Here is a 25,708-nt window from a genome sequence, read left to right on the forward strand (position 1 = left end):
AAATCTTGGCCAGGAAGTCACTCTAGTCACTCTTTTAGGAGGTACAGCATCACAGCAATGATGACATGGTTTCATCACATGACTTCAGAACTACAGATAGTAGAGCATGACATGCACTTTGGGAGGCCGAGGCGGGCGGATCACCTGAGGTCAGGAGTTCAAGACCAGCCTGGCCAACATGGCAAAACCCCGTCTCTACTAAAAATACAAAAATTAGCCAGGCATGGCGGTAGGCGCCTGTAATCCCAACTACTTGGGAGGCTGAGGCAGGAGAATCACTTGAACCTGGGAGGCAGAATTTGCAGTGAGCTGAGATGGTGCCACTTCATTCCATCCTGGGCAAAAGAGTGAGACTCCATCTCAAAAAAAAAAAAAAAAAAAAAAAAGAGCATGACATGATACTTGGAAGGGGGATGATGTGATGAGGTCATCCAGTTATGTAAGGCAAACTAGCGAAGTTTGGTAATAATATTAGTATGACCTCAATTTGTACCTACAGTCTTGTTTGGCTGGGTTATCAGGTTACATTTCATTTTCTTTCTTTTTATCCTTCTGATACACTTCCCTTTTATTCGGTGGCTATAGATTTGTGATATTTTAAGATCATGCTCTGTGCAACTCTTGGTAGAGAAAATGGCAATGGTGTCAGAGTGCCCAAGACTGATAGAACCCCTGGGAAAGAAGCGGCAGTCTTAGCAGCAGTGCTGTCTATGTTGCGACAGCAGGAGCAGCAGTGGTTCATTCATTCCTCAATGTTGTGTCACTGCAGCATATGCAGATCAAAGTAAGTGTTCTTAACAATCACTTCCCTGAGGGATGCGAATGACTCTGTTTCTTTCACATAGGGAATTATATATTTATAGAAATAATGAGATAGGACCTACTCAGTTTTTGGTGGGGTGTGTTTATATGCTAGGTTCTAATGCCAATCTACAGGTCTTCCAAACTCAGGTGATTACCACCAGCTAGAGTGAAGAAGAAAGTTGTTCTGATTTATCTTTCCATTGTTCAATAGACAACCCTCAAAAAGCCGAAGGAAGGAAGGAAATCCCTTGTTCTCTATATGCTGATACCAACTGTCATACTATCTAGTCAGACCATTCTCCCATAAATGTTATCAAAAAATTAAACCCATTTAAAAAGGTTGACCAAACTTATTTAAATTGGAGAAGACATTATTTTATTTAAAAAAGAAATGCCTTTCTAACCCCAAGTAAAATATAATCATCAAAAGTTTCCAAGAAAAATGTTCCAATGACAAAGCATTCCATAACTTTTGGAAGACTCTCAGGTGAGCATGTAACTGCTCTGTGCAGTCGCCGTTATTGATTATGTTATATTTGCTTTACTTAGAAACAGAATTCATCTCTCCTATTAAAATAAACATATAAAAGAAAATGTAAAAGGGAAAACATAGCCCTACGTAGAAATAAATATTGCATATAGTTCAAGAGCACAGACATATTGCAGATGATTTATAATACCAAGGACTAGAAAACAAAATTAACCTACCTCTTCTTGAATTGACTCAAAGTCACGAAAAAAGTGTTTTCACAGTTGTCAGGATCTTCTTGACAAGAAGCCCAGCTGAATAAAGCAAAAGAAAAAAATGGCTTGTAATATGAGTTAACATCAAAAGTTTTATGGAATTCCAAACTTGCGTAGATATCTTGACCAAAGAAACTGTAGAAAATAAAATGAAATAGAATGTTACACTGTTCCTTTTTGGGGACTTGAATAAAGTATCTTTTTAAGCTTACATTAAATTTTAACCATGAAATTCACAATTAATGAGAGGTCAGCTTGCCCTGAGGGACTAATCTAAAACAAGAAGTTTAAACATGTGTTGAAAATTCTCTCTCTGATCAAAGAAGCTGTTTTAACAGGAAAGTTTTATTTGTAAGTAAAGCTATGACATTTAAAAATGGTATTCATACATAACAGAGGAGAGTGAAGTATAAGCATGGGATCATCAGGACAAGAATAAAACAGAAAGCAAGAGATATTAAAGCAGAACTTTGTAATATCTTAACTAAGCATTTAAATATTCTAGTTGAATTGGCAAAGCTCTTTCTATAGTGAGTAGAAGCTTCCCCAAACTTTTATGGCTCAATTTTAGTCTTGGTAATTTGACTTCCATACAGTTGGCAAGATTACTCACAGAGTAAGAAAGAATATTTCTTAACTATAGCAGATAAAGATAGAATTTAAAATATATATGTATACATACTAAAGCAAGATTCTGATGTTCAACTTCCCTTTAATGTGACCCAAGGACAGAATGCTCTGATAATTTGGATTTCAGTTACTCTGGTTTTGTAGTTGTTTCTCATAAATAAATTTACTCTCATATTTGTATGAGTTTTCTGATGACCTCTACTTTTGGGCACTGAAAGCTGGTCTTTGAAGGAACACAGCCAGACCATAGAGTTTTAGGCCCAGCCAAACTTCAGCAGGCTTTTCTGTGGACACCAGCACTGGCCTTCATCTGCTTGTTTGCTACGTATTTCTTAACTTATACGTATTATTTATGGTTACTATAGGTTGTGCAACTTTAAATTGTCATAACAACATTGCCATATTGAAGTACTAAATTGAAGTTTCCAATTTTTTTTCCAAGGGTAATATTTGTTGAAAGGACACTTTCAAATAGAACCTTTATGTGTTGTTTTCTTCCTCTATTCCTCTATTCAGCAAATATATGTTGAATGCCTGTTGTGTCATAGAAATACGGCTCAACAATGGCAATACAACAGTGACCAAGTTAGAAAGAGAACAATGTCTCAGTTCATGACCTCGTAGTTGACACAGATTATTAAAAACACAATCTGTGGGATGCTGTGTAATTACTGAGTTTGGTAGGTCAGTGAAATTTTAGTAGAGGAAGTGATGCATCAAAGCTAAGAACAAAAGGATGAGTAGAAGTTAGCTAGGAAGGAACACAAGTGGAGTGACCATTTATTAAATGTAACATATTCTCTAATATACCACGTGTCAAACTTAGCCTCTGAGGACACAGTAGTGGACCAAACATACCAGATCTCTATTCTCCTGGATTATTTGGATTCTCCTTAGGGAGTCAAACAAAAATCAACTAAAAACCCTGTAAGTAATTTTAAATGGCAACCATGCCATGAAGAACTATAACTGGGTTGCAGTACACTTTTTTTTTTTTGCCTCCCCAGCATCTATTTGCTCTGATTTTTTTTGGCTGGGGGTCAGGGGGATTTACTCTTTACATATGTAGCTTATAAACTTCTGGGGAAGCTGATGGATGTTTCCTCTCTTACCCTGTATGAACGTATTTGTTCTAAAAGCAATTCCATCTCTTTGCAAACAATCAGCTGAGTGATTCAGTTCAAAGCAATGAAGTCAGGAATGGTAATGTAACACAATTCTAGCCAATGAAATACGAGGGGACACTATTCAAACCTCTAGGGGAAAAGTTGTCTCACTCTTAAGAGAAAGCCACTGGGAAGAAAATGGCTTCTTTGCTCTTGTGTTTGTGATGCCTAGAGCTGCCCTATCCCTGAGTGGCTGAGAAGATCTCAGAGAAATAAGGCTATGATTGAGCCATGTCAATTCCCCCCTGCCTCTGGATATTTGCTGTGTAAGCCAGTGATCACAATTGTATAAATCAATGCCACTCTGGATTTCTGTTACTCATTGAAATCATTGTGAATGAAACCAGAGAAAATGTTTAATGTGTTAGAAAAAAGAGTCAGTGAAAGAACACAAGACAGGGTAGGTTCTACTTTAGACTACCTGGTCAAGAACCTTCATTCTGAAGAGGTGATATTTAAGCTGAGACAATAAGCCATCCATGATAAGCCCTGGGAACAGACTCTTCCAGGAAGCAAAAAGAACAATTCAACACTCAAAAGATTCAGTTGAAAAAACTGAAGGTGTACAACTAGATTTGAGCCATGTCCTGATGATAAAAAGCTTGTGAGTCTTGTGGAGAGGTTTAACTCACTCAAAACCGCTCAACTGCATGGAAACTGAACAACCTGCTCCTGAATGACTATTGGGTACATAACAAAATGAAGGCAGAAATAAAGATGTTCTTTGAAACCAACGAGAACAAACACACAACATACCAGAATCTCTGGGACACATTCAAAGCAGTGTGTAGAGGGAAATTTATAGCACTAAATGCCCACAAGAGAAAGCAGGAAAGATCCAAAATTGACACTCTAACATCACAATTAAAAGAACTAGAAAAGCAAGAGCAAACACATTCAAAAGCTAGCAGAAGGCAAGAAATAACTAAAATCAGAGCAGAACTGAAGGAAATAGAGACACAAAAAACGCTTCAAAAAATTAATGAATCCAGGAGCTGGTTTTTTGAAAGGATCAACAAAATTGATAGACTGCTAGCAAGACTAATAAAGAAGAAAAGAGAGAAGAATCAAATAGACGCAATAAAAAATGATAAAGGGGATATTACCACTGATCCCACAGAAATACAAACTACCATCAGAGAATACTATAAACACCTCTACGCAAATAAACTAGAAAATCTAGAAGAAATGGATAAATTCCTCGACACATACACCCTCCCAAGACTAAACCAGGAAGAAGTTGAATCTCTGAATAGACCAATAACAGGCTCTGAAATTGTGGCAATAATCAATAGCTTACCAACTAAAAAGAGTCCAGGACCAGATGGATTCACAGCCAAATTCTACCAGAGGTACAAAGAGGAACTGGTACCATTCCTTCTGAAACTATTCCAATCAATAGAAAAAGAGGGAATCCTCCCTAACTCATTTTATGAGGCCAGCATCATCCTGATACCAAAGCGCGCAGAGACACAACCAAAAAAGAGAATTTTAGACCAATATCCTTGATGAACATTGATGCAAAAATCCTCAATAAAATACTGGCAAACCGAATCCAGCAGTACATCAAAAAGCTTATCCACCATGATCAAGTGGGCTTCATCCCTGGGATGCAAGGCTGGTTCAATATATGCAAATCAATCAATGTAATCCAGCATATAAACAGAACCAAAGACAAAAACCACATGATTATCTCAATAGATGCAGAAAAGGCCTTTGACAAAATTCAACAACCCTTCATGCTAAAAACTCTCAATAAATTAGGTATTGATGGGACATATCTCAAAATAATAAGAGTTATCTATGACAAACCCACAGCCAATATCATACTGAATGGGCAAAAACTGGAAGCATTTCCTTTGAAAACTGGCACAAGACAGAGATGCCCTCTCTCACCCCTCCTATTCAACATAGTGTTGGAAGTTCTGGCCAGGGCAATTAGGCAGGAGAAGGAAATAAAGGGTATTCAATTAGGAAAAGAGGAAGTCAAATTGTCCCTGTTTGCAGATGACATGATTGTATATCTAGAAAACCCCATTGTCTCAGCCCAAAATCTCCTTAGGCTGATAAGCAACTTCAGCAAAGTCTCAGGATACAAAATCAGTGTACAAACATCACAAGCATTCTTATACATTAATAACAGACAAACAGAGAGCCAAATCATGAGTGAACTCCCATTCACAATTGCTTCAAAGAGAATAAAATACCTAGGAATCCAATTTACAAGGGACGTGAAGGACCTCTTCAAGGAGAACTACAAACAACTGCTCAGTGAAATAAAAGAGGATACAAACAAATGGAAGAACATTCCATGCTCATGGGTAGGAAGAATCAATATCGTGAAAATGGCCATACTGCCCAAGGTAATTTATAGGTTCAGTGCTATCCCCATCAAGCTACCAATGACTTTCTTCACAGAATTGGAAAAAACTACTTTAAAGTTCATATGGCACCAAAAAAGAGCCCGCATCACCAAGTCAATCCTAGCCAAAAGAACAAAGCTGGAGGCATCATGCAACCTGACTTCAAACTATACTACAAGGCTACAGTAACCAAAACAGCATGGTACTGGTACCAAAACAGAGATATAGATCAATGCAACAGAACAGAGCCCTCAGAAATAACGCCACGTATCTACAACTATCTGATCTTTGACAAACCTGAGAAAAATAAGCGATGGGGAAAGGATTCCCTATTTAATAAATGGTGCTGGGAAAACTGGCTAGCCATATGTAGAAAGCTGAAACTGGGTCCCTTCCTTACACCTTATACAAAAATTAATTCAAGATGGATTAAAGACTTAAACATTAGACCTAAAACCATAAAAACCCTAGAAGAAAACCTAGGTATTACTGTGTCCGGAATCGGTGGGTTCTTGGTCTCACTGACTTCAAGAATGAAGCTGCGGACCCTCGCGGTGAGTGTTACAGCTCTCAAGGTGGCACATCTGGAGTTTGTTCCTTCTGATGTTCAGATGTGTTTGGAGTTTCTTCCTTCTGGTGGGTTCATGGTCTAGCTGGCTCAGGAGTGAAGCTGCAGACCTTCGCGGTGAGTGTTACAGCTCTTAAGGTGGCGTGTCTGGAGTTGTTCGTTCCTCCTGATGGGCTCGTGGTCTCGCTGGCTTCAGGAGTGAAGCTGCAGACTTCTGCAGTGAGTGTTACAGCTCATAAAAGCAGCGTGAACCCAAAGAGTGAGCAGCAACAAGATTTATTACAAAGAGAGAAAAAACAAAGCTTCCACAGTGTGGAAGGGGACCCGAGTGGGTTGCCACTGCTGGCTTGGGCAGCCTGCTTTTATTCTCTTATCTGGCCCCACCCACATCCTGCTGATTGGTAGAGCGGAGTGGCCTGTTTTGTCAGGGCGCTGATTGGTGCATTTACAATCCCTGAGCTAGATACAAAGGTTCTCCTTGTGCCCATCAGATTAGTTAGATACAGAGTGTCGACACAAAGGTTCTCCAAGGCCCCACCAGAATAGCTAGATACAGAGTGTCGATTGGTGCACTCACAAACCCTGAGCTAGACACAGGGTGCTGATTGGTGTGTGTACCAACCTTGAGCTAGATACAGAGTGCCGATTGGTGTATTTACAATCCCTGAGCTAGACATAAAGACTCTCCACGTCCCCACCAGACTCAGGAGCCCAGCTGGCTTCACCCAGTGGATCCCGCACCAGGGCTGCAGGTGGAGCTGCCTGCCAGTCCTGCACCATGTGCTCGCACTCCTCAGCCCTTGGGCAGTCGATGGGACTGGGTGCTGTGGAGCTGGGGGCAGCACTCGCTGGGGAGGCTCGGGCTGCACAGGAACCCACAGAGGCGGGGGAAGGCTCAGGCATGGTGGGCTGCAGGTCCCGAGCCCTGCCCCGCGGGAAGGCAGCTAAGGCCCGGTGAGAAATCGAGTGCAGGGTCGGTGGGCTGGCACTTCTGGGGAACCCAGTACACCCTGCGCAGCCGCTGGCCCAGGTGCTAAGTCCCTCATTGCCTGGGGCCAGCAGGGCCAGCCGGCTGCTCCGAGTGCAGGGCCCTCCAAGCCCATGCCCACCCGGAACTCCAGCTGGCCCACAAGCGCCGCACACAGCCCCGCTTGCACCTCTCCCTCCACACCTCCCTGCAAGCTGAGGGAGTGGGCTCTGGCCTTGGCCAGCCCAGAAAGGGGCTCCCACAGTGCAGTGGTGGGCTGAAGGGCTCCTCAAGTGCTGCCAAAGTGGGAGCCCAGGCAGAGGAGGCGCCGAGAGCGAGCAAGGGCTGTGAGGACTGCCAGCATGCTGTCACCTCTCATTACCATTCAGGACATAGGCATGGGCAAGGACTTCATGTCTAAAACACCAAAAGCAATGGCAACAAAAGCCAAAATTGACAAATGGGATCTAATTAAACTAAAGAGCTTCTGTACAGCAAAAGAAACTACCATCAGAGTGAACAGGCAACCTACAAAATGGGAGAAAATTTTCGCAACCTACTCATCTGACAAAAGGCTAATATCCAGAATCTACAATGAACTCAAACAAATTTACAAGAAAAAACAAACAACCCCATCGAAAAGTGGGTGAAGGACATGAACAGACACTTCTCAAAAGAAGACATTTATGCAGCCAAAAAACACATGAAAAAATGCTCACCATCACTGGCTATCAGAGAAATGCAAATCAAAACCACAATGAGATACCATCTCACACCAGTTAGAATGGAGATCATTAAAAAGTCAGGAAACAACAGGTGCTGGAGAGGATGTGGAGAAACAGGAACACTTTTACACTGTTGGTGGGACTGTAAACTAGTTCAACCATTGTGGAAGTCAGTGTGGCGATTCCTCAGGGATCTAGAACTAGAAATACCATTTGACCCAGCCATCCCATTACTGGGTATATACCCAAAGGACTATAAATTATGCTGCTATAAAGACACATGCACACGTATGTTTATTGCAGCACTATTCACAATAGCAAAGACTTGGAACCAACCCAAATGTCCAACAATGATAGACTGGATTAAGAAAATGTGGCACATATACACCATGGAATACTATGCAGCCATAAAAAATGATGAGTTCATGTCCTTTGTAGGGACATGGATGAAATTGGAAATCATCATTCTCAGTAAACTATCACAAGAACAAAAAACCAAACACCGCATATTCTCACTCACAGGAGGGAATTGAACAATGAGAACACATGGATACAAGAAGGGGAACATCACACTCTGGGGACTGTTGTGGGGTGGGGGAAGCGGAGAGGGATAGCTTTAGGAGATATACCTAATGCTAAATGATGAGTTAATGGGTGCAGCACACCAGCAGGGCACATGTATACATATGTAACTAACCTGCACATTGTTCACATGTACCCTAAAACTTAAAGTATAATTAAAAAAAAAAAGATTCATTTTAAGAGCCATTAAAACATTTGAAGTTTGTGGATGACAACGTATTTTCTTTTTTGTTCTGTGTAATACTAAATCTGATGTTTACAATTACTGTTAAAATGTGTTATTTAGTTTACAGAGACCATATTTCATTTTACAGTGGTAAGAAAATTAAAATGGAATTAACATCATTCTTTCTTATGGCATGCAAATTTGTTCAAAAGCATTTGATGACGGGAATTTCTTACAGAACACAATGACATTAAATGAGCAAAACGAGTTAGTAAGTAAAAATTCAAAAGAGTACAATTTTAATGAAAATAAAATCTAGACAATTTGTCTTATTTTTAAGTAATACGGTAATCAAAATAAAATTGTAGGCTATTGCTGTCAAAGGGTGTTTTTGCTCTAAATCCATTTATTTTCCAAGACTCTGTTGTACTAAGAATAGGGTAATTGAGATAAGTAAGAAGGCATGGCTGAAAGAATTAGAAATAAACTTACTGGAAAAATTTAAAATAGCTTTCCTAAATTCTCACATTTCTACTCTTAAGAAACTATATGTCATAAATATGTTTCTTTCATTATGCATATATTCACTAAAATATTCACCATGGAAACGTATTAATTTCTACACACATTTACCAAGTTCCTCTATGTGCAATGCAATATGCTAGGGACTTCGAAGTGTGCACACACACACACACACACACACACAACAGACTTAAAAATAATATAAAGTAGAATGAGACATCATTTTGAAAGAGGAATAAAAAAGGATTTCCGAGATCACTTTTGATAGTGAATAAGAAAAGGCATCACGAAGAGGCATTTGAAAAGTCTTCAAACATAAGCCAGGTACTTACAGGTCAGGCAGAAGTGTTCTAAGTAATTTTAACTTAAATATTGGATTTTGGGGGCATAGTGTCATGACTATAGGATCATTTATGTCTAATTTACCGCCTACTAATCTTAGGGAACAAGTCATATTTGGCCTTACCATAGGGAGCTATAATTGTCCATGTAGCCACTGATGCCCTATATACATGAAGGTTAAATATCAGAAATATATTTCCTGATGCCAAGAAATTCATAATATGATGAAAATCCGTAGAGGAAAAACAGGGTCTTGATGATTTTAATGCACTCATCTTCTTAGGGTAACTCTTACAGGAATAAAGATTATAGAGACCGTGAGTAGCCAGAGAAGCAGTGAGGTGTACAGTAAAAGAATTACAGTTGTAATTCTGCCACAATGCCTGTACGATCTTGTCTCTTTGCCACCATTAATTTTAATGTTATCATTTGTAAAATAGAAGTTATATAATACATACAAAGTTTAAGATACAAATGAGAAAATGTGTGAAAGTATTTTTTCTTTTAGTAGATATGGTCTTGCTATGTTGCCCAGGCTGGCCTTTAACTCTTATGTTCAATCCATCCTTTCACCTCAGCCTCCTGAGTAAGCTGGAACTACAGGTGCATGACACTAGGCCTGGTTTGATGGTACTTTTTAAGCTCTAGAATTGTCCTGTTCAATATGGTAGTCACTGGCCATGTGTGGTTATTTACATTAATTAAAATGAAATAAGATGTAAAACTAAGTTCCTTAGTCATAGTAGCTATATGTCAAGTCATTAGTAGCCATATGTGGCTAGTGGCTACCATATTGGACTGCATGAACATAGAATATTTATGTCATCACAGAGAGTTATATTGGACAGCACTGCTCTAGGTTACAGTACAAATATTCATTGCTCTTTCTACCTATTTTCATGATCACAGAATAAGATGTTATGGTCAATAAATGAACATTTTTAGGTAGAAAATATCCTCATGCCTGTAATCCCAGCATTCTGGGAAGCTGAGGTGGGAAGATTGCTTTAACCTAGGAGTTTGAGACCAGCCTGGGCAACATAGCGAGACCCTGCCTCTATAAAAAAATAAAAGTTAGCTGAGCATAATGGCATGCACCTGTAGTGCCAACTACTTGGGAAGCTGAGGCCAGAGCATCACTTGAGCCCAAAAGTTTGAGACTGCATTGAGCCATGATTGTGCCACTGTACTGGGGCCTGGGTGACAGAGTTAGATCTCATCTCTAAAAATAAATGAATAAAGAAATAAATATTAAAAAATAAAAAAACAGAAAACATCTAGATGCCGGATAAGTGTTGCAAAATCTATCTTTATAAGAAAATATTCTGCCAATAAATTGCTAACCATACATTCCAATGTATTAATTTTCTCAGGTATTTCAATTGTTTTGGGGGGGATTCCATGAAGAAATAATCACATTTTCAGACTCAGAAAACTACAATGGGTACTACAAACCATTCTGTAGTCACAAGGTAAAGCTAGAAATCATATCAAGTTTTAGAACATGCTTCAAACACTGACGCATATTAAAAAAGAAATCGGCCGGGTGCAGTGGCACACGCCTGTAATCCCAGCACTTTGGGAGGCCAAGGCGGGTGGATCACGAGGTCAGGAGATCGAGACCATCTTGGCTAACACAGTGAAACTCCGTCTCTACTAAAAATACAAAAAATTAGCCAGGCGCAGTGGCGGGCACCTGTAGTCCCAGGTACTAGGGAGGCTGAGGCAGGAGAATGGTGTGAACCTGGGAGGTGGAGCTTGCAGTGAGCTGAGATGGCGCCACTGCACTCCAGCCTGGGTGACAGAGCGAGCCTCCGTCTCAAAAAAAAAAAAAAAAAAAAAAAAAAAAAGAAAAAAAAGAAAAGAAATCAATGTCATAACATTCACAATACAAAAGTGTACAGATCTTATGCCTACAGCTGGATGAAGTTTTGCTTCTATACACACCCACCACAACATCCACTTCCCATAAGGCTGCCTTGTAATCCTCCCACTCAATACAATTCCTCCCAACATATATAACCACTAGTCTGACTTCAGTATTTGTGACTTGTTCTTGACTTCAGATAGATGACATTATATAGTATATATTATTTTTTGTTTGGCTTATTTTACTCAGTATGATGTTCGTGAGATGAGGCTATGTTCTTATAAACAATAATAACTAATTATTTTCCGAAAGTGAGACAGATTTTGATACTAAGCTCTCCTGTTAGGTGGAAGTAAGGTCCTCACCCAGAGAAGAAAGTATAGTTGCCTAACTGATTTTGATGCTTAGAAAAAAACAGTTGATACACACAGTTGTAATGTGTATTGGCTGTACATATGGTTAAAAACTTGCTTGAGGAAATAGATTTATTTTTCTGCTGTTTGTGTCCCCCTTAAAGTGCAGAAGTTTCCCAAACATCATTGTTCTTAGCCTTAAAAACTGCACTGAAAGCTTATTCTTCAAGGAGGCCATCATCTTTTTAGAATGATGATGATTACCTGCAACTTCAAGCCGTCTATGGATTTCTAGCTCCCCAAAACTGAGGATTTTTCTCTATAGAAATAGCACTTGAAGGCAGTGAACATGAAAGGTCTTCAGCAAACCTAGGGTTTTCAGATCTTCTTGTCGTTTGTATAAAAGCAGTTATATTTTTTTAAATTCCCTTAAAGACTACATAATGATCATTTAGTTTCCTTTTGAATATAAAATTATCTAAACATTAGATAAGAACAGGTCTGAGGTTTTATTCCAGCGTAGAACAGGGCACACAAATAGTTACCATTTGTTAATATGTGCCAAGTATTCTGATACTCTACATAATCTTAAAATCCTTCCTACCCCCTCTTGCACACCAGTGAGATTTTAAGATAAGAATTAGTTTTCCATTTATAAATGGAGAAACAAAGTTCAGGGAGCTTAAGTAATCTCCCCAAATGAGGTCAACATTAGAGCCTGGCTTCCAACTCTATTTGACACAAAGCCACGATGGCAGATGTCTATTGTTCCTATGTGTTTTCCTGCAAGGGTATGGAAAGTGTATAGGTTTTAAAGAAATATTATAGATTCTGTGCACTTTAACATCTGGGTTTATATACAATGCCTATTCTTCTGATATCAGAATCAAATTTTTTAGAAAGAGAATTTATCTAATCGTAAATGCTGAAGTCTAATGCTGGCAAAATAGGAATGATTTTAAAATAGTGTTACCAAAATAGATCAAGTATAGAAAGTTGAGAATTTTGTAGATCCCAAGTAATGTTTGCACATTTTTCTAATTTGTAGACTATTTGTTTATCTTGTTGTAAAATGTGAAAAAGTATCCTTTAAAGTTATGTACCAGTGCAGAGTTTCCAAGTTTCTTTTTTATTGTGCTAGAAAAAATGTTTTCCCTTATTGTGGAACAAAGAAATAGTAAAGCCATGGAAATTAGGACTTTCATTTCATTCACTTAATTTTTTTACATATTGGATGGTAAAATTTAAGATTAACACATGTAGTTATCACCCCCTACCATAATAGTCAGACACAGCCTAATCCAAAGGTGGGAGAAGTGGGTTAAAGTAGGTCGGAAAAGTCAAGGTAATTAATGCAGAACATACAAAATCAAATGTTGCCAATAAGTTGACACAATTCAGGCCTCTATTTCAGGAGGAAAAATTCTTTAAAAATGTTTTTAAAGATACAGGCATGAAAAAATATCTTTTGTCATGTCAGTTTCTCAGGGAGTTTAACAGCTATTAGATACATAATGTTATGCTTAGTAACTACAAATTTATGAGTTAAAGACTAAGCTATTGTCTTAGGAATTTTAGGATTCACTTTGTAGGAAACCTTGAGAATAAGAATATAGGAGAAATTATATTTCTTTCTTTCATATAGTATCTTTTCCTCCATTTCTAAACTTTTAATTATTGTCTGAGGTTTAGAACAGTTTTAACCTGGCTTCTTCCAGACAAATGAAGTCTCTGGAAATAACTAGGTAGAACTGTTTTATAAATGTGCTGTTGGATATGGGCAGTGAAGTAAGTAAAAAAAATGTGCTGTTGGATGTGGGTAGGGAAGTAAGTGACCAGGGACTTGTTAACCAAGCCTATCTTCCCTGAAAAATACCCTTCATTAATCTCAGAGAATACTAAATCAGTGAATCTGATATGGAAATATGTTTTACTAATTCAAATAATTGCCATGATATTTACATAGTAACTGACTTTTTAAGAAAATTCAGCAAATAATTAATGAAAAGGGGAGTTCTCTCTTTTAACGCTTCAAGGGGAGAAAAAAGGACATAGCAATGCAGTGAGCCAAAGAACCTTAAAAGAAATCAGCTTCAGATAAGTGCCCTGAAGAACAACTTTATTTCCATTGGAGATCTTATTGAGTTGCTTTGTTTGACTGTGGAAAAGATTTTTATTTCTGAGATTTAGGAAGGCACATTTCCAGAAAAGACAGTTCTTGTGGCTTAATTGATCTCTCAGAAGGAGTGTGTTTCAGTTTAGGAGGCCAGAGTGTATTTTCTGTTGGATCAGACTCTCAAGCAGACATTTATGGGGGAATTCTTCCATTCTACTCTCAGCTGCTAGGCCAGTTGGTTAGATTTTGCTGCCAGTGAGTCAAAGGTCATAAGTCTAATACTTGAACAGATCACTTTGCTTTACACAGAGAAAGCTCTGTAACAAAGACATAGATTACAGCCTTATCCCTGCCAGCGCCAGCTGGGTTTCAAGTGTGAGGCTATTCCCATAAGAGGGACTGGACTCTTCAAAGACCTGATGGGTCCCCCAACAAGCAGTGTAAATTCTTTTGCTCAAATTATTTTTTCCAAAATGTAAAGAAACCAATCACACACAAAAAATGGAATTCAATCTTTAGGGTTTTTTGAGAAAATTATTATTAATGCAAATCAACTTTAAAAAAATGACATCTAAAATTTTAACTGGAATGTATATTTTTTCAAGTTTTTTTTTAAGTGGACTAGATTTTTTGTGAGGGTATAAGTAATAGTTTTATTTGCAGTCTAAGACATTAAAGTGAAGATGTTCAACAACAACAAAAAAATCAATAGTTTTAGAAGAGTATTTTAAAATTGTATCCATATGTGGTGAATTTTAGAAATGTGTGACTTATTTATGCCATAAACTTGTAATGTATTTATCCATTACCATCTCTGAAACTATTTCACTTAATTAAATCAGTATTTTGTCAGTTCTACTTGGGGGTATTTTGTTTTTTACCTCATTTATGTACTGTAAAATTTTAATGTATAAGAATATAAAATATAGAGAAGTGAATAGTACTTGAGATTGGTCTTGACTTAACCACACACATCTGTCATGTAACTGGTAACTGATCATATTAATTATATCTCTCAAGCAGCTCTGGAAACTGACATTCTCATATCTAATACACTGTCCGTACTTTAGCCTCTTATAATCCCTCACCTGAATTTCCTAATATTCTCCTGTTTATATGTTTGCCTCCAAAGTCACAATCATCTTTCCAGACACAAATTTCACTGTGTCATTTCCTAGCTCCCTGTTCTCTGTAGAGTAAGTGTGAGACTCCTCTTGACCCATGTGTCATCAAGCTCGGCTAGGTCTCTATGACCTAGTTACATTAAACTAGTTGCAGTTCCCTTAATGTGCTTGCTGGCTAATAGTTCCATTCATTTACATGCTGTTTGAAATCTGTATTTGTCTCTCCAGCAGTCATCCCCAACCCCTTCTTCTTTGCAAAACAACTGATTCTTCTGCTTCCTCGCTATAGCATTCGGGCCCCTCCACATCTCCCAGGGATGAATCTTGATTAGTCTAAGCTCATCATGATGCTTCCCTCTCCTCTCCTTGTCAGTGATTACTTCTAGTATAAGCATGTGAGCATTTGAGTCTGAGGAACAGTCTTCTAAAGGCTTCTAATAAATTCTCCCTTACTCTTCTTTTTTTATCTGTCTGTCTGTCTATCTATCTATCTATCTATCATCTATCTATCTATCTATTTTTTGAGGCAGAGTCTCTCTCTGTCACCCAGGCTGGAGTGCCGTGGTGCGATCTCGGCTCACTGCAACCCCTGCCTCCTGCGTTCAAGCGATTCTCCTGCCTCAGCCTCCTGAAAAGCTGGGACTACAGGTGCCCACCACCATGCCTGGCTAATTTTTTTTTTTTTTTTTTTGTATTTTTAGTAGAGACAGGGTTTCACCGTGCTAGCCAGGATGGTCTCGATCTCTGGACCTCGTGATCCACCTGCCTCAGCCTCCCAAAGTGCTGGGATTACAGGCGTCAGCCACCGCACCCAGCCTAAGGCTACATAGTTTTAAAATATTGTTATAACATCTTACATTGGTTAAAAAAAATAAAACCCTTTTGCCTTTTCAAAGCTCTTCCTAGACATAATTACATTTTGTTTTTCACAATGTCCTTACATGTAGGGGAGAGCAGCATGTTTATATACATTTTCCCGGTAAGATTTACTCAGTCATAGAAAGAATAAGTCACTTGCCCAAAGGATTGAATTCACATGAGCCTCCTTTTCAAAATACCAGAGACTTTTCTCAGGTCAGTTCTCTTTCTAGTTCACTGCAAATGGATGTGGCACTTAATGTTTGGTATATATCAGAATCACCTGAGACGTTGTTTAGACACAGATACAGGCTCCACTCCAGCCATAGATAATCGGGATCTCTGGTGGTCAGAGCCTTGGTACATGAATTATTGCACAGAGATCGAATGAGGTCAGTAAGGCCCACAGCTCTAATAGACACCCCTGCATCAGAATCACGTGATATTCTTGTTAAGAATGCTGGTTCCTGCACCTAACTAAACTTTCTTAACCAGACTTACTGGGTTGATTTGGGACCAAAGAAACTGTGCTTTTGAAAGTTTATCAGGTGATGGATATACAAGTTTTAGAACCACTATTCTATGACTTCATTTTTACACTGTTCTACTTTTTCACAGCTGCCATTGCCTACTCTGACCATGATTTATTTTCCCCAGGTCATGACCATTGTTGCAGTAAGACTGACACCTGTCATTTTTGCTGCCTGTCCATCAAGACAGGCCACTTTCAAAAACTTTTCAGGTGTTCTTTCTAGAAATAGCTAAGCAGGCAAGATAAATACAAATGTTCTAAGAGTTAACTTTACTATCTGTATTGTAGCTTGCAAGGCAAGGTTAATCTCACTGTCATGTCTGCTTTCTATTTTGATAGATGTTGTGGTGGTTTCTATATCCCCATACATGGGTGCTGCATCATGAGAATTTAGTTTATGGAATTCGATTCTACTTGCTTGGCAAGTAGAATAAGAGAAAAAATTATTCACCATGTCGTGTTTAAATATTTTGCTTGATGCATAGTGTCGTATAAGACCCCCACTAACCTCAGCAGGGATGGCACCATATTTGAGAGGCCAAAGAAGAGACTCAGAGCCAGTAAACAAGATATAGGGTTCTATTAGCGGGTAACTTACAGGGACGGTCTAGTGACAGCAGGATGGAGAGGAGAACCGTAAATGCTTACAAAAAGCATTCAGTTTATATAGCATTTTCATTTAGCACCCTCAGCCTAACAACTTCCACCTGGCAACCTTCATTTACCCCCCCCACTCCAAAACAAAGGCCTGGATCTCCATACAGTCTGAGTTCCATAGAACAAGGAGGGGGTCCAGGTGTTCGTCATAGGTAAAAAATGGATCTTCGGGTTGGCCACTCCCAGATTCCTTAGCTCAAAACTCAGATCATACATTTAGGTGTGTCTGCCACACAGGGTCATTCTCGGATATGCTTAAGTTATTGCTGTCAGATGCATCTGCCATACACATAGTAAGTAGTCAGTTGTATTAATTTTATATTATTGCATAAAAACTTACCACAGGCTTAGCCCCTAAAAACTGCCCACTTCATTTTCTTCTAGTTTTCATGGGTCAAGAGTCTAGGCATAGCTTAACTGGGTCTTCTGCTCAGAGCCTCATAAAGGTGCAGTCAAGTGTCAGCCAGGGATTGTTCTCAGCAGATAAAGGCTGCCCTCTAGTTTTGCCACACAGGCCCCCCACATAATATAGCCATCCTCAAGGCCAGCAGGAAAGATCTCTATGACCTCTAGGTCCTCTTTTAAAGGTCACATTTGATTAGGTCAGGCTCACCCAGGAAATATCGCTTTTGATTAACTTAAAATCCACTCATTAGTGGCTTGCATTACATCTGCAAAATCTTCTTACCTTTACCTTCTGATGTAACCTAATCGTGGAAGTTAAATCCATCAAATTGACAAGCTTCACCTGTACTTAAGGCCTATAACTAGCCTCAGGACATGTACACCAGGGGACAGGAAACTTGGAGACCATCTTAAAATTCTGCCTACTGCCTCAATAAATGTTTGTTAATTGTGGAATCTTGTTTTGCATTGTTTATTTTTAAATTAAATACATGTAAATGTAAAAATAAAAAAATCCAAGAAGACAAAAATGTATATAATGGAAATGTGTCTATCTCTAACCACTAAATTTTAGTCCCCTTCCATGCTTGCTGGCAATAATATTTTAAAAAATTCTTACATAGGCTTCCAGATTATTCTATGTATCTGTGTGCTATAACTGATTTGCATACTATTTGTTTTTCCATTTAATCTTTAAGATATATCATTAGCAGCACATACAAGTCTACCACATAAATGCATCTATGTGTTTGCACTGAATATTATTCATTTGCACACATGGATTTTAAAATATGTGACTAGTCCTGTATTGACAAAATACAAGTATCTACTCTTTTATTATTGCAAATATTTTCACTATTTGTGTGCCTTTGTGCATACGTGTTCATATATCATGGGAGAAATTCCCAGAAGAATTGCTGCTTTAAATAGTAAGTGCTCTTAGTAGTCTGATAAATATTGACTTTTTTTCAAAGATATATATCAAGTTACAGTTCCAGTTTCCTTACATTCTTAATGATACTGCATTAGAAAATGTTTAGCTTTACCAATCTGACGGTTGAGGAAACATATTACATTATTGCCATAACTTGTGTTTCCTTAAGAGCATGGTTGAGTACCGTTTGATATGTTTCAAAGGCATTCTATTTCTTTTTTTCATAAGTTGCCTCTTTATATTCTTTACTAACTTTTATTCAATGGCATTTCTTTTCCCTGGCACATAGCAGAATACTCAAGGATTATGTATCCCAGTGTGGGAAGCAGGAAGTATACTATTCTAATAACTTCAAAGCATAATGAGTCATGTGAGTATTTAAGATGTAAGGAAAATTCATGATTGGAGTTTCCATCCAATTGGATATGGGTTCTTCACTTCCAACTCTTTCCTCACTCCCTTCTGCTTTACCCAAGTAGATTCCCAGTTCCTGTAGGTAGGTAGCTATACATATATACGTATCATTTGCACTTCCTATATATATAGCTACATATATATATATATATATATATATATATTTTTTTTTTTTTTTTTGAGACAGAGTCTTGCTCTGTCACCAGGCTGGAGTGCAGTGACACGATCTCGGCTCATTGCAACCTCCAGTTCCCTGGTTCAAGTGATTCTCCTGCCTCAGCCTCCCAAGTAGCTGGGATTACAGGCATGCACCACCACATCCAGCTAATTTTTGTATTTTTAGTAGAGACGGTGTTTATCCATGTTGGCCAGGATGGTCTTGATCTCCTGACCCCGAGATCGGCCCACCTTTGCCTCCCAAAATGATGGGATTACACGCATGAGCCACTGCACCCGGCCAGTAGATAGCTTTAAAAAAGATTATGCTGGCTGGGCGCGGTGGCTCACGCCTGTAATCCTAGCACTTTGGGAGGCTGAGGCAGGCGGATCACGAGATCAAGACCATCCTGGCTAACATGGTGAAACCCCGTCTCTACTAAAAGTACGAAAAAGTTAGCCAGGCGAGGTGGTGGGCACCTGAAGTCCCAGCTACTTCGGAGGCTGAGGCAGGAGAATGGCGTGAACCTGGGAGGCGGAGCTTGCAGTGAGCGGAGATCTTGCCACTGCACTCTAGCCTGGAAGACAGAGTGAGACTCTGCCTCAAAAAAAAAAAAAAAAAAAGGGGGGGGTTATGCTGAAACAAATAATGAGCACAAAGAAAATCTGCCTTTAAATTTCAGTTGTGATGTTTGCTAGCTTACATGATGTAAAATAGGTGTGCACGAAATAAGTAAATTAAGTATTTAAAGAAAATAAGTCTTTTCATTTTTTACTACTGGTTTAGTTTCTGATGCAAGAATATTTCAAAAATTCTGATAAATTTTAATCTACAAATGTAGCAAATGAGGTAGCATACATAACCATATATAAAAATTTAATCTATAAGTGCAACAAATGAGGAAGTGCAAGTGATATGTGTCCCCACCCAAATCTCATGTCAAACTGTAATCCCCAATGTTGGACGAGGGACCTGGTGCAAGGTGACTGGATCATGGGAGCAGATCTTCCCCTTGCTGTTCTCATGATAATGAGTTCTCACAAGATCTGGTTGTTTAAAAGTGTGTATCATTTCTCCCTTCACTTTATTCCTCCTGTGCCAGTCACATAAGACATGCCTGCTTCCTCAGTCATTATTACTTGTCTGGAGGCAAAACATAAACAATACCATAAAATATGTTTAAAAATTTGACATTCTCAATGATATTAATATGCAAGATCTTCAATAATTTATTTTCTTAATCTACTCATAACATTCAATGGTCTCACCAATGTGAGCTTAAAATTGCTTATTCTGAAAGTTTTATAAATAAGTAAATACAATGAAAAATAAGCTTCTTGTCTATGACGACACGATAAATAAAAGCAGATGTTCAAATGGGAGACACCTGAAGAGACAAGTTAGTCCAATGGATAGGAGCGAAGGAAACTGCCCCTTTGTAAAGATTGAGGAAAAGAGTGTAAAATTATGCTCTCATTACACTCATGCTGTTACTAAGGCCTACAGAGAGAAGGTATTGAGAGGTGACAACATGCTGGCAGCCCTCGCTTGCTCTTGGCGCCTCCTCAGCCTCGGTGCCCACTCTGGCCGTGCTTGAGGAGCCCTTCAGCCCGCCGCTTGCACTGTGGGAGTCCCTCTCTGGGCTGGCCGAGGTCAAAGCCAGCTCCCTCTGCTTGCAGGGAGGTGTGGAGGGAGAGGTGCGGGCAGGAACTGGGGCTGTGCGCGGCACTTGTGGGCCAGCTCGAGTTCCAGGTGGGCATGGGCTCGGCGGGTCCCTGCACTCGGAGCGGCCAGCTGGCACCACTGGCCCCAGGCAGTGAGGGGCTTAGCATCCGGGCCAGCAGCTGCGGAGGGTGCCCCGGTTCCCCAGCAGTGCTGGCCCACTGGCGCTGTGCTCGAATTCTCGTGGGCCTCAGCTGCCTCCCCACAGGGCAGGGCTCAGGACCTGCAGCCCACCATGCCTGATCCTCCCCACCACCGTGGGCTCCTGTGCAGCCCGAGCCTCCCCCATGAGCGCTGTTCCCTGCTCCACGGGGCCGGGTCCCATCAACCACCCAAGGACTGAGGAGTGCAGGAACGCAGTGCGGGACTGGCGGGCAGCTCCGCCCATGGACCTGGTGTGGTATCCACTATGCGAAGCAAGCTGGGCTTCTGAGTCAAGTGGGGACTTGGAGAACTTTTATGTCTAGCTGGAGGATTGTATATGCACCCATCAGAACCCTGTGTCTAGCTCAAGGTTTGTAAATGCACCAATCAGCACTCTGTATGTAGCTAATCTTGTGGGGACTTGGAGAACTTTTATGTCTAGCTAGAGGATTATAAATGCACCAATCAGCACTCTGTGTCTAGCTAAACGTTTGTAAATGCACCAATCAGTGCTCTGTGTCTAGCTAATCTAGTGGGGACTCAGAGAACCTTTATGTCTAGCTAAAGGATTGTAAATACACCAATCAGCACTCTGTATCTAGCTCAAGGTTTGTAAACACACCAATCAACACCCTGTGTCTAGCTCAAGGTTTGTAAATGCACCAATCAGTGCTCTGTGTCTAGCTAATCTAGTGGGGACTTGGAGAATTTTTGTGTCTAGCTCAGATTGTAAATGCACCAGTCAGCACCCATCAAAACAGACCAATCAGCTCTCTGTAAAACAGACCAATCAGCTCTCTGTAAAATGCACCAATCAGCAGGATGTGGGTGGAGCCAGATAAAGGAATAAAAGCAGGCTGCCCAAGCCAGCAGTGGCAACCCACTTGGATCCCTTTTTCTACTGTGGAAGCTTTGTTCTTTCACTTCTTGCAATAAATCTTGCTGCTGCTCACTCATTGGGGCCGCACTGCGTTTATGAACTGTAACACTCACCAGGAAGGTCTGCAGCTTCACTCCTGAAGCCAGGGAGACCACGTGCCCACCAGAAGGAAGAAACTTAGAACATTTCTGGACATCAGAAGAAACAAACTCCAGACACACCACCTTTAAGAACTGTAACACTCACCGCAAGGGTCCATGGCTTCATTCTTGAAGTCAGTGAGACCAAGAACCCACAAATTCCGGACACGGTATCACCTTAAAAGCATGCATTGAATCAATCTTATTTATATTTTTATCTTAATGAAGGCATGAATGATGGAAGATATCAACTTTATATAAAAGAGCTTCGGCCAGGCACGGTGGCTCATGCCTGTAATCCCAGCACTTTGGGAAGCGGAGGCAGGCGGATCACAATGTCGGGAGATGGAGACCATCCTGGCTAACATGGTGAAACCCCGTCTCTACTAAAAATACAAAAAATTAGCAGGGCATGGTGGCGGGTGCCTATAGTCCCAGCTACTCGGGAGGCTGAAGCAGGAGAATGGCGTGAACCCAGGAGGCTGAGCTTGCAGTGAGCCGAGATGCCGCCACTGCACTCCATCCTGGGCGACAGGGCGAGACTCTTTCAAAAAAAAGAAGAAAAAAAAGAGCTTCTACTGCCAGGGAGAGAAGAACCCATGATCTTCTTGGGCTGGAAAATTAACCTTGAGATGCTTAGTAGAAAGGCGCTTGGAATTTACAACATTCTTCCCCTCCACTTTGTAGCTCATATGTAGTAACCACATCCCTATTTTACACCTTTAAATGTGACCCCTCAGTTGATTACATGTCTCCTGTCCTAGCCCCTTTGACACTAGTCTTCAAAAGATCAGATTAAATTAGAAGCATATCTCACGCCTGTAATCCCAGCACTTTGGGAGGCCGAGGCGGGCGGATCACGAGGTCAGGAGATCGAGACCATCCCGGCTAAAACGGTGAAACCCCGTCTCTACTAAAAAAAATACAAAAAATTAGCCGGGCGTAGTGGGGGGCGCCTGTAGTCCCAGCTACTTGGGAGGCTGAGGCAGGACAATGGCGTGAACCCGGGAGGCGGAGCTTGCAGTGAGCCGAGATCCCGCCACTGCACTCCAGCCTGGGCGACAGAGCGAGACTCTGTCTCAAAAAAAAAAAAAAAAAAAAGCGTATAAGCCTACTCATTGACTACTCTATATTAAGCAAGTTGCTGTACCTGTCTGAGTCTCAATTTCCTTATTTATAAATGGCAATAATTATACCAACTTGATTGTTTTTTAACAATACCAGAATGCCTTGCACTTAGTAAGTGATCAATAAGAAGAAATTATTACTGGTGTTATTTGCTTTCCATCATGAGAGAATTTTGTCTGGGCTTTAAAACCAGTTGACAAAACCTCCACCTATCTGAGATTTCTCTGTTACTCTTGGCCTATTCCCAGAACCTTGCCTGCCACAGAGAGGTGGGTCTCCCTGCCAAAACATGTTTTTCTTGTTGATGACGTTGTACTCGCTGCTGTTGAAACCTGTCCTGGCCACCTGTTTCCATCCTCAGCTCCCAGGGGATCTATTAATAGCTAGCACCTGGCCCCTCCCAGTCTGACAACCCCACTGACTCAAGGTTCCGTCACTGGTTTTACTCAGCGAACACGTTGTTGCATTTAGCAAAAACCAGTGAAAAATCCAACACATATCCTAGTGAAATTCAACACACGTTCTCTATGTGAAATATTTCTCCCTCCAGTCCCTCTGTCATTACTAGGTAACTTATGAACACACTTTATGCTTTCACATCACAAACTTGGAAATTGTTTTTAAAAATTCCATGGCTTAGCATTGCAAAAGAATGCAAAAGAAACTAACCATTTTTATTAACATGCCTACTGTATTCATGTATTCTTAGTTTTTGTTCAATTTGGAGCTCATGCTGAGTTCATAGAACTTGACTTATTTATTTGGCAGACTGTCAAAAAATTCAAAATTCCAATTCAAAATGCAATATTATATTTTCCAAACCTAAATGTACACATGCACATATCACTCATAAAGCCCATTTCAAATGCTATTTTCACTGCACTGTTTTTTTTAGCAGTTTTGTTACTTAGTGGAGCAGAATGCTGTTATAATTATGATTATTATTATGGTTGATGTAGGATATATAATTGACTTTTTTCTCATCAGCAAAAAAGATTTAAATGTGATTGTTACTCCCACCTACATGTACCTGAGTTCTGGGCTTTCCTGTCTTAGGTGCGATGAATTGCTTGTGTTTATGGCTAAACGGTGGAGTAGCTCCCTGAAGGCATCTTTCCCAGGCATCTAATTTGAAAAGCCTAAATTTTTGAGGCTGCATGGGTGGATGATCCTTGCAGAAGTCGGAGGCCCTTTGACTCAGGAAGAGAAGAGATTAACTTGACTCCTGGTGATTATTGAGATGGTTGTGCATTAACTCAGCCACCCTGAAGCAAAGAATGTGTGCACCTGAGGGTCCTTGGGAAGGATCTGAGCAGGGTAGACCCAGAAGGCTCTGACCTTGGGAATTTTAGCAATGATCCTTGAGGTCAACCTTGTGGCCAGTGAAGAGGGACACTATGAGGGACTTTCTGAGCGGAACAATATTTGATTCTCATGCTTTTCAGACCATGAAGATCAATGTTGGAATGGTGTGCAGCAGGGACTAAAACCCAGACCTTGTCTTTATTGTTTTGCCTGAATAAAATGAGAAGTTCCTTATATACTACAAGGGAGGAATAAGAAAGCCATTAACCTGACATTGACCTTAAAAGGTAAAGTCACAAGTTTTCCTCACCCATAAGAAAATATTCACTGGCGTGACCTGACATATAATCTCATGGGTTTCATGGATCTGTATCCCTGGGCATTTATGCCCTCACTCTCCTGTACATCTAGGAGACTAAGAGATTACCACAGAATGACTATTTCTGCCTCAGTCTGGAGCAAGATTGAACAATGGTCGTCTGACTGAAGTCACTCCATAAGGAGTACCTGTGACTGTGGAACATCTGCATCTGGAAGGAAATGTAAAGAATAAGTCAGATAGCAGCTATTCTGAATCAACCACCTACTCAATAGTGCTGGTTTTGTACATTCCAAATTCTGGAGTCAGAGTCTTTCTGATCTACCGTGACTTGCTTAATTGCTCTCTGGCTCCTCTTCCAGGTGGATGCAGTCCACAGTGGAACATCTTGATGACTGCCTGGAATCTTTGTGTAAAATAGAAAATGATACTAATTTTCCCTCCATGTGGGTACAACTCCATGGTAAAGTTGGTGAGTGGCAAAGCAGGCTTACCTCCCACCTTTCCTTCTTGGCTGGATATTCTTATATAGATTAACTATACTACCCTGCGCAACAACACTGATTCTTTGTCCAGCTTTCTGAAATTAGTCTTTCCTGGATGGTTCTCTACAAGCAGTCAATAAACTTTTGTGATCACTTAAAAATAATTGTCATTACTTACCCATGATTTCTCTGTTAAAGATGCCCAAATCCATGTATCAGCAGTGAAAAATGTCTAATAAAAGTAAAATTCACTCACATGTATTTCACAAGGCATATTTAACAACAAAAGATTAATGCATTTTTATTGTAAAAATTTAAGAATTAAAGTAGAACTATGTACTTGGAATCAACCTCAGAAATTGAAAAATAAATTTTGAAGGAAAAGAAAATAGATTTTAGGAAGAATCAGAATTGTTGAATGTGGAGATCTGAAAAAGAAAAATGAAAGTTGGAACAAAAAAAATGAAGAAAGAAAAGTATATGCTATAAGTGAAGAAATGCTTCATCTGTTGTCTTTTAGATATCTTTGAATATAAACTAAGCTGTCTAGTTATGGTCACAAATGTAAATAAAGAGTAGAGTTTCC

General features: G+C 39.9%; 1 annotated feature.

Moving 5' to 3' along the window:
- Positions 24,028-25,227: an enhancer, noted in NCBI's record as "CDK7 strongly-dependent group 2 enhancer chr7:80703763-80704962 (GRCh37/hg19 assembly coordinates)". NCBI's record gives its function as "activates an origin of replication core promoter dependent on BRD2, BRD4, P300/CBP, MED14 and CDK7 cofactors, with strong dependence on CDK7, by STARR-seq in HCT116 cells {active_cell/tissue: HCT116}" and the evidence as "EXISTENCE:reporter gene assay evidence [ECO:0000049][PMID:35650434]".

Source organism: Homo sapiens, chromosome 7 (genome assembly GCF_000001405.40).
Source record: "Homo sapiens chromosome 7, GRCh38.p14 Primary Assembly".
NCBI lineage: Eukaryota > Metazoa > Chordata > Mammalia > Primates > Hominidae > Homo > Homo sapiens.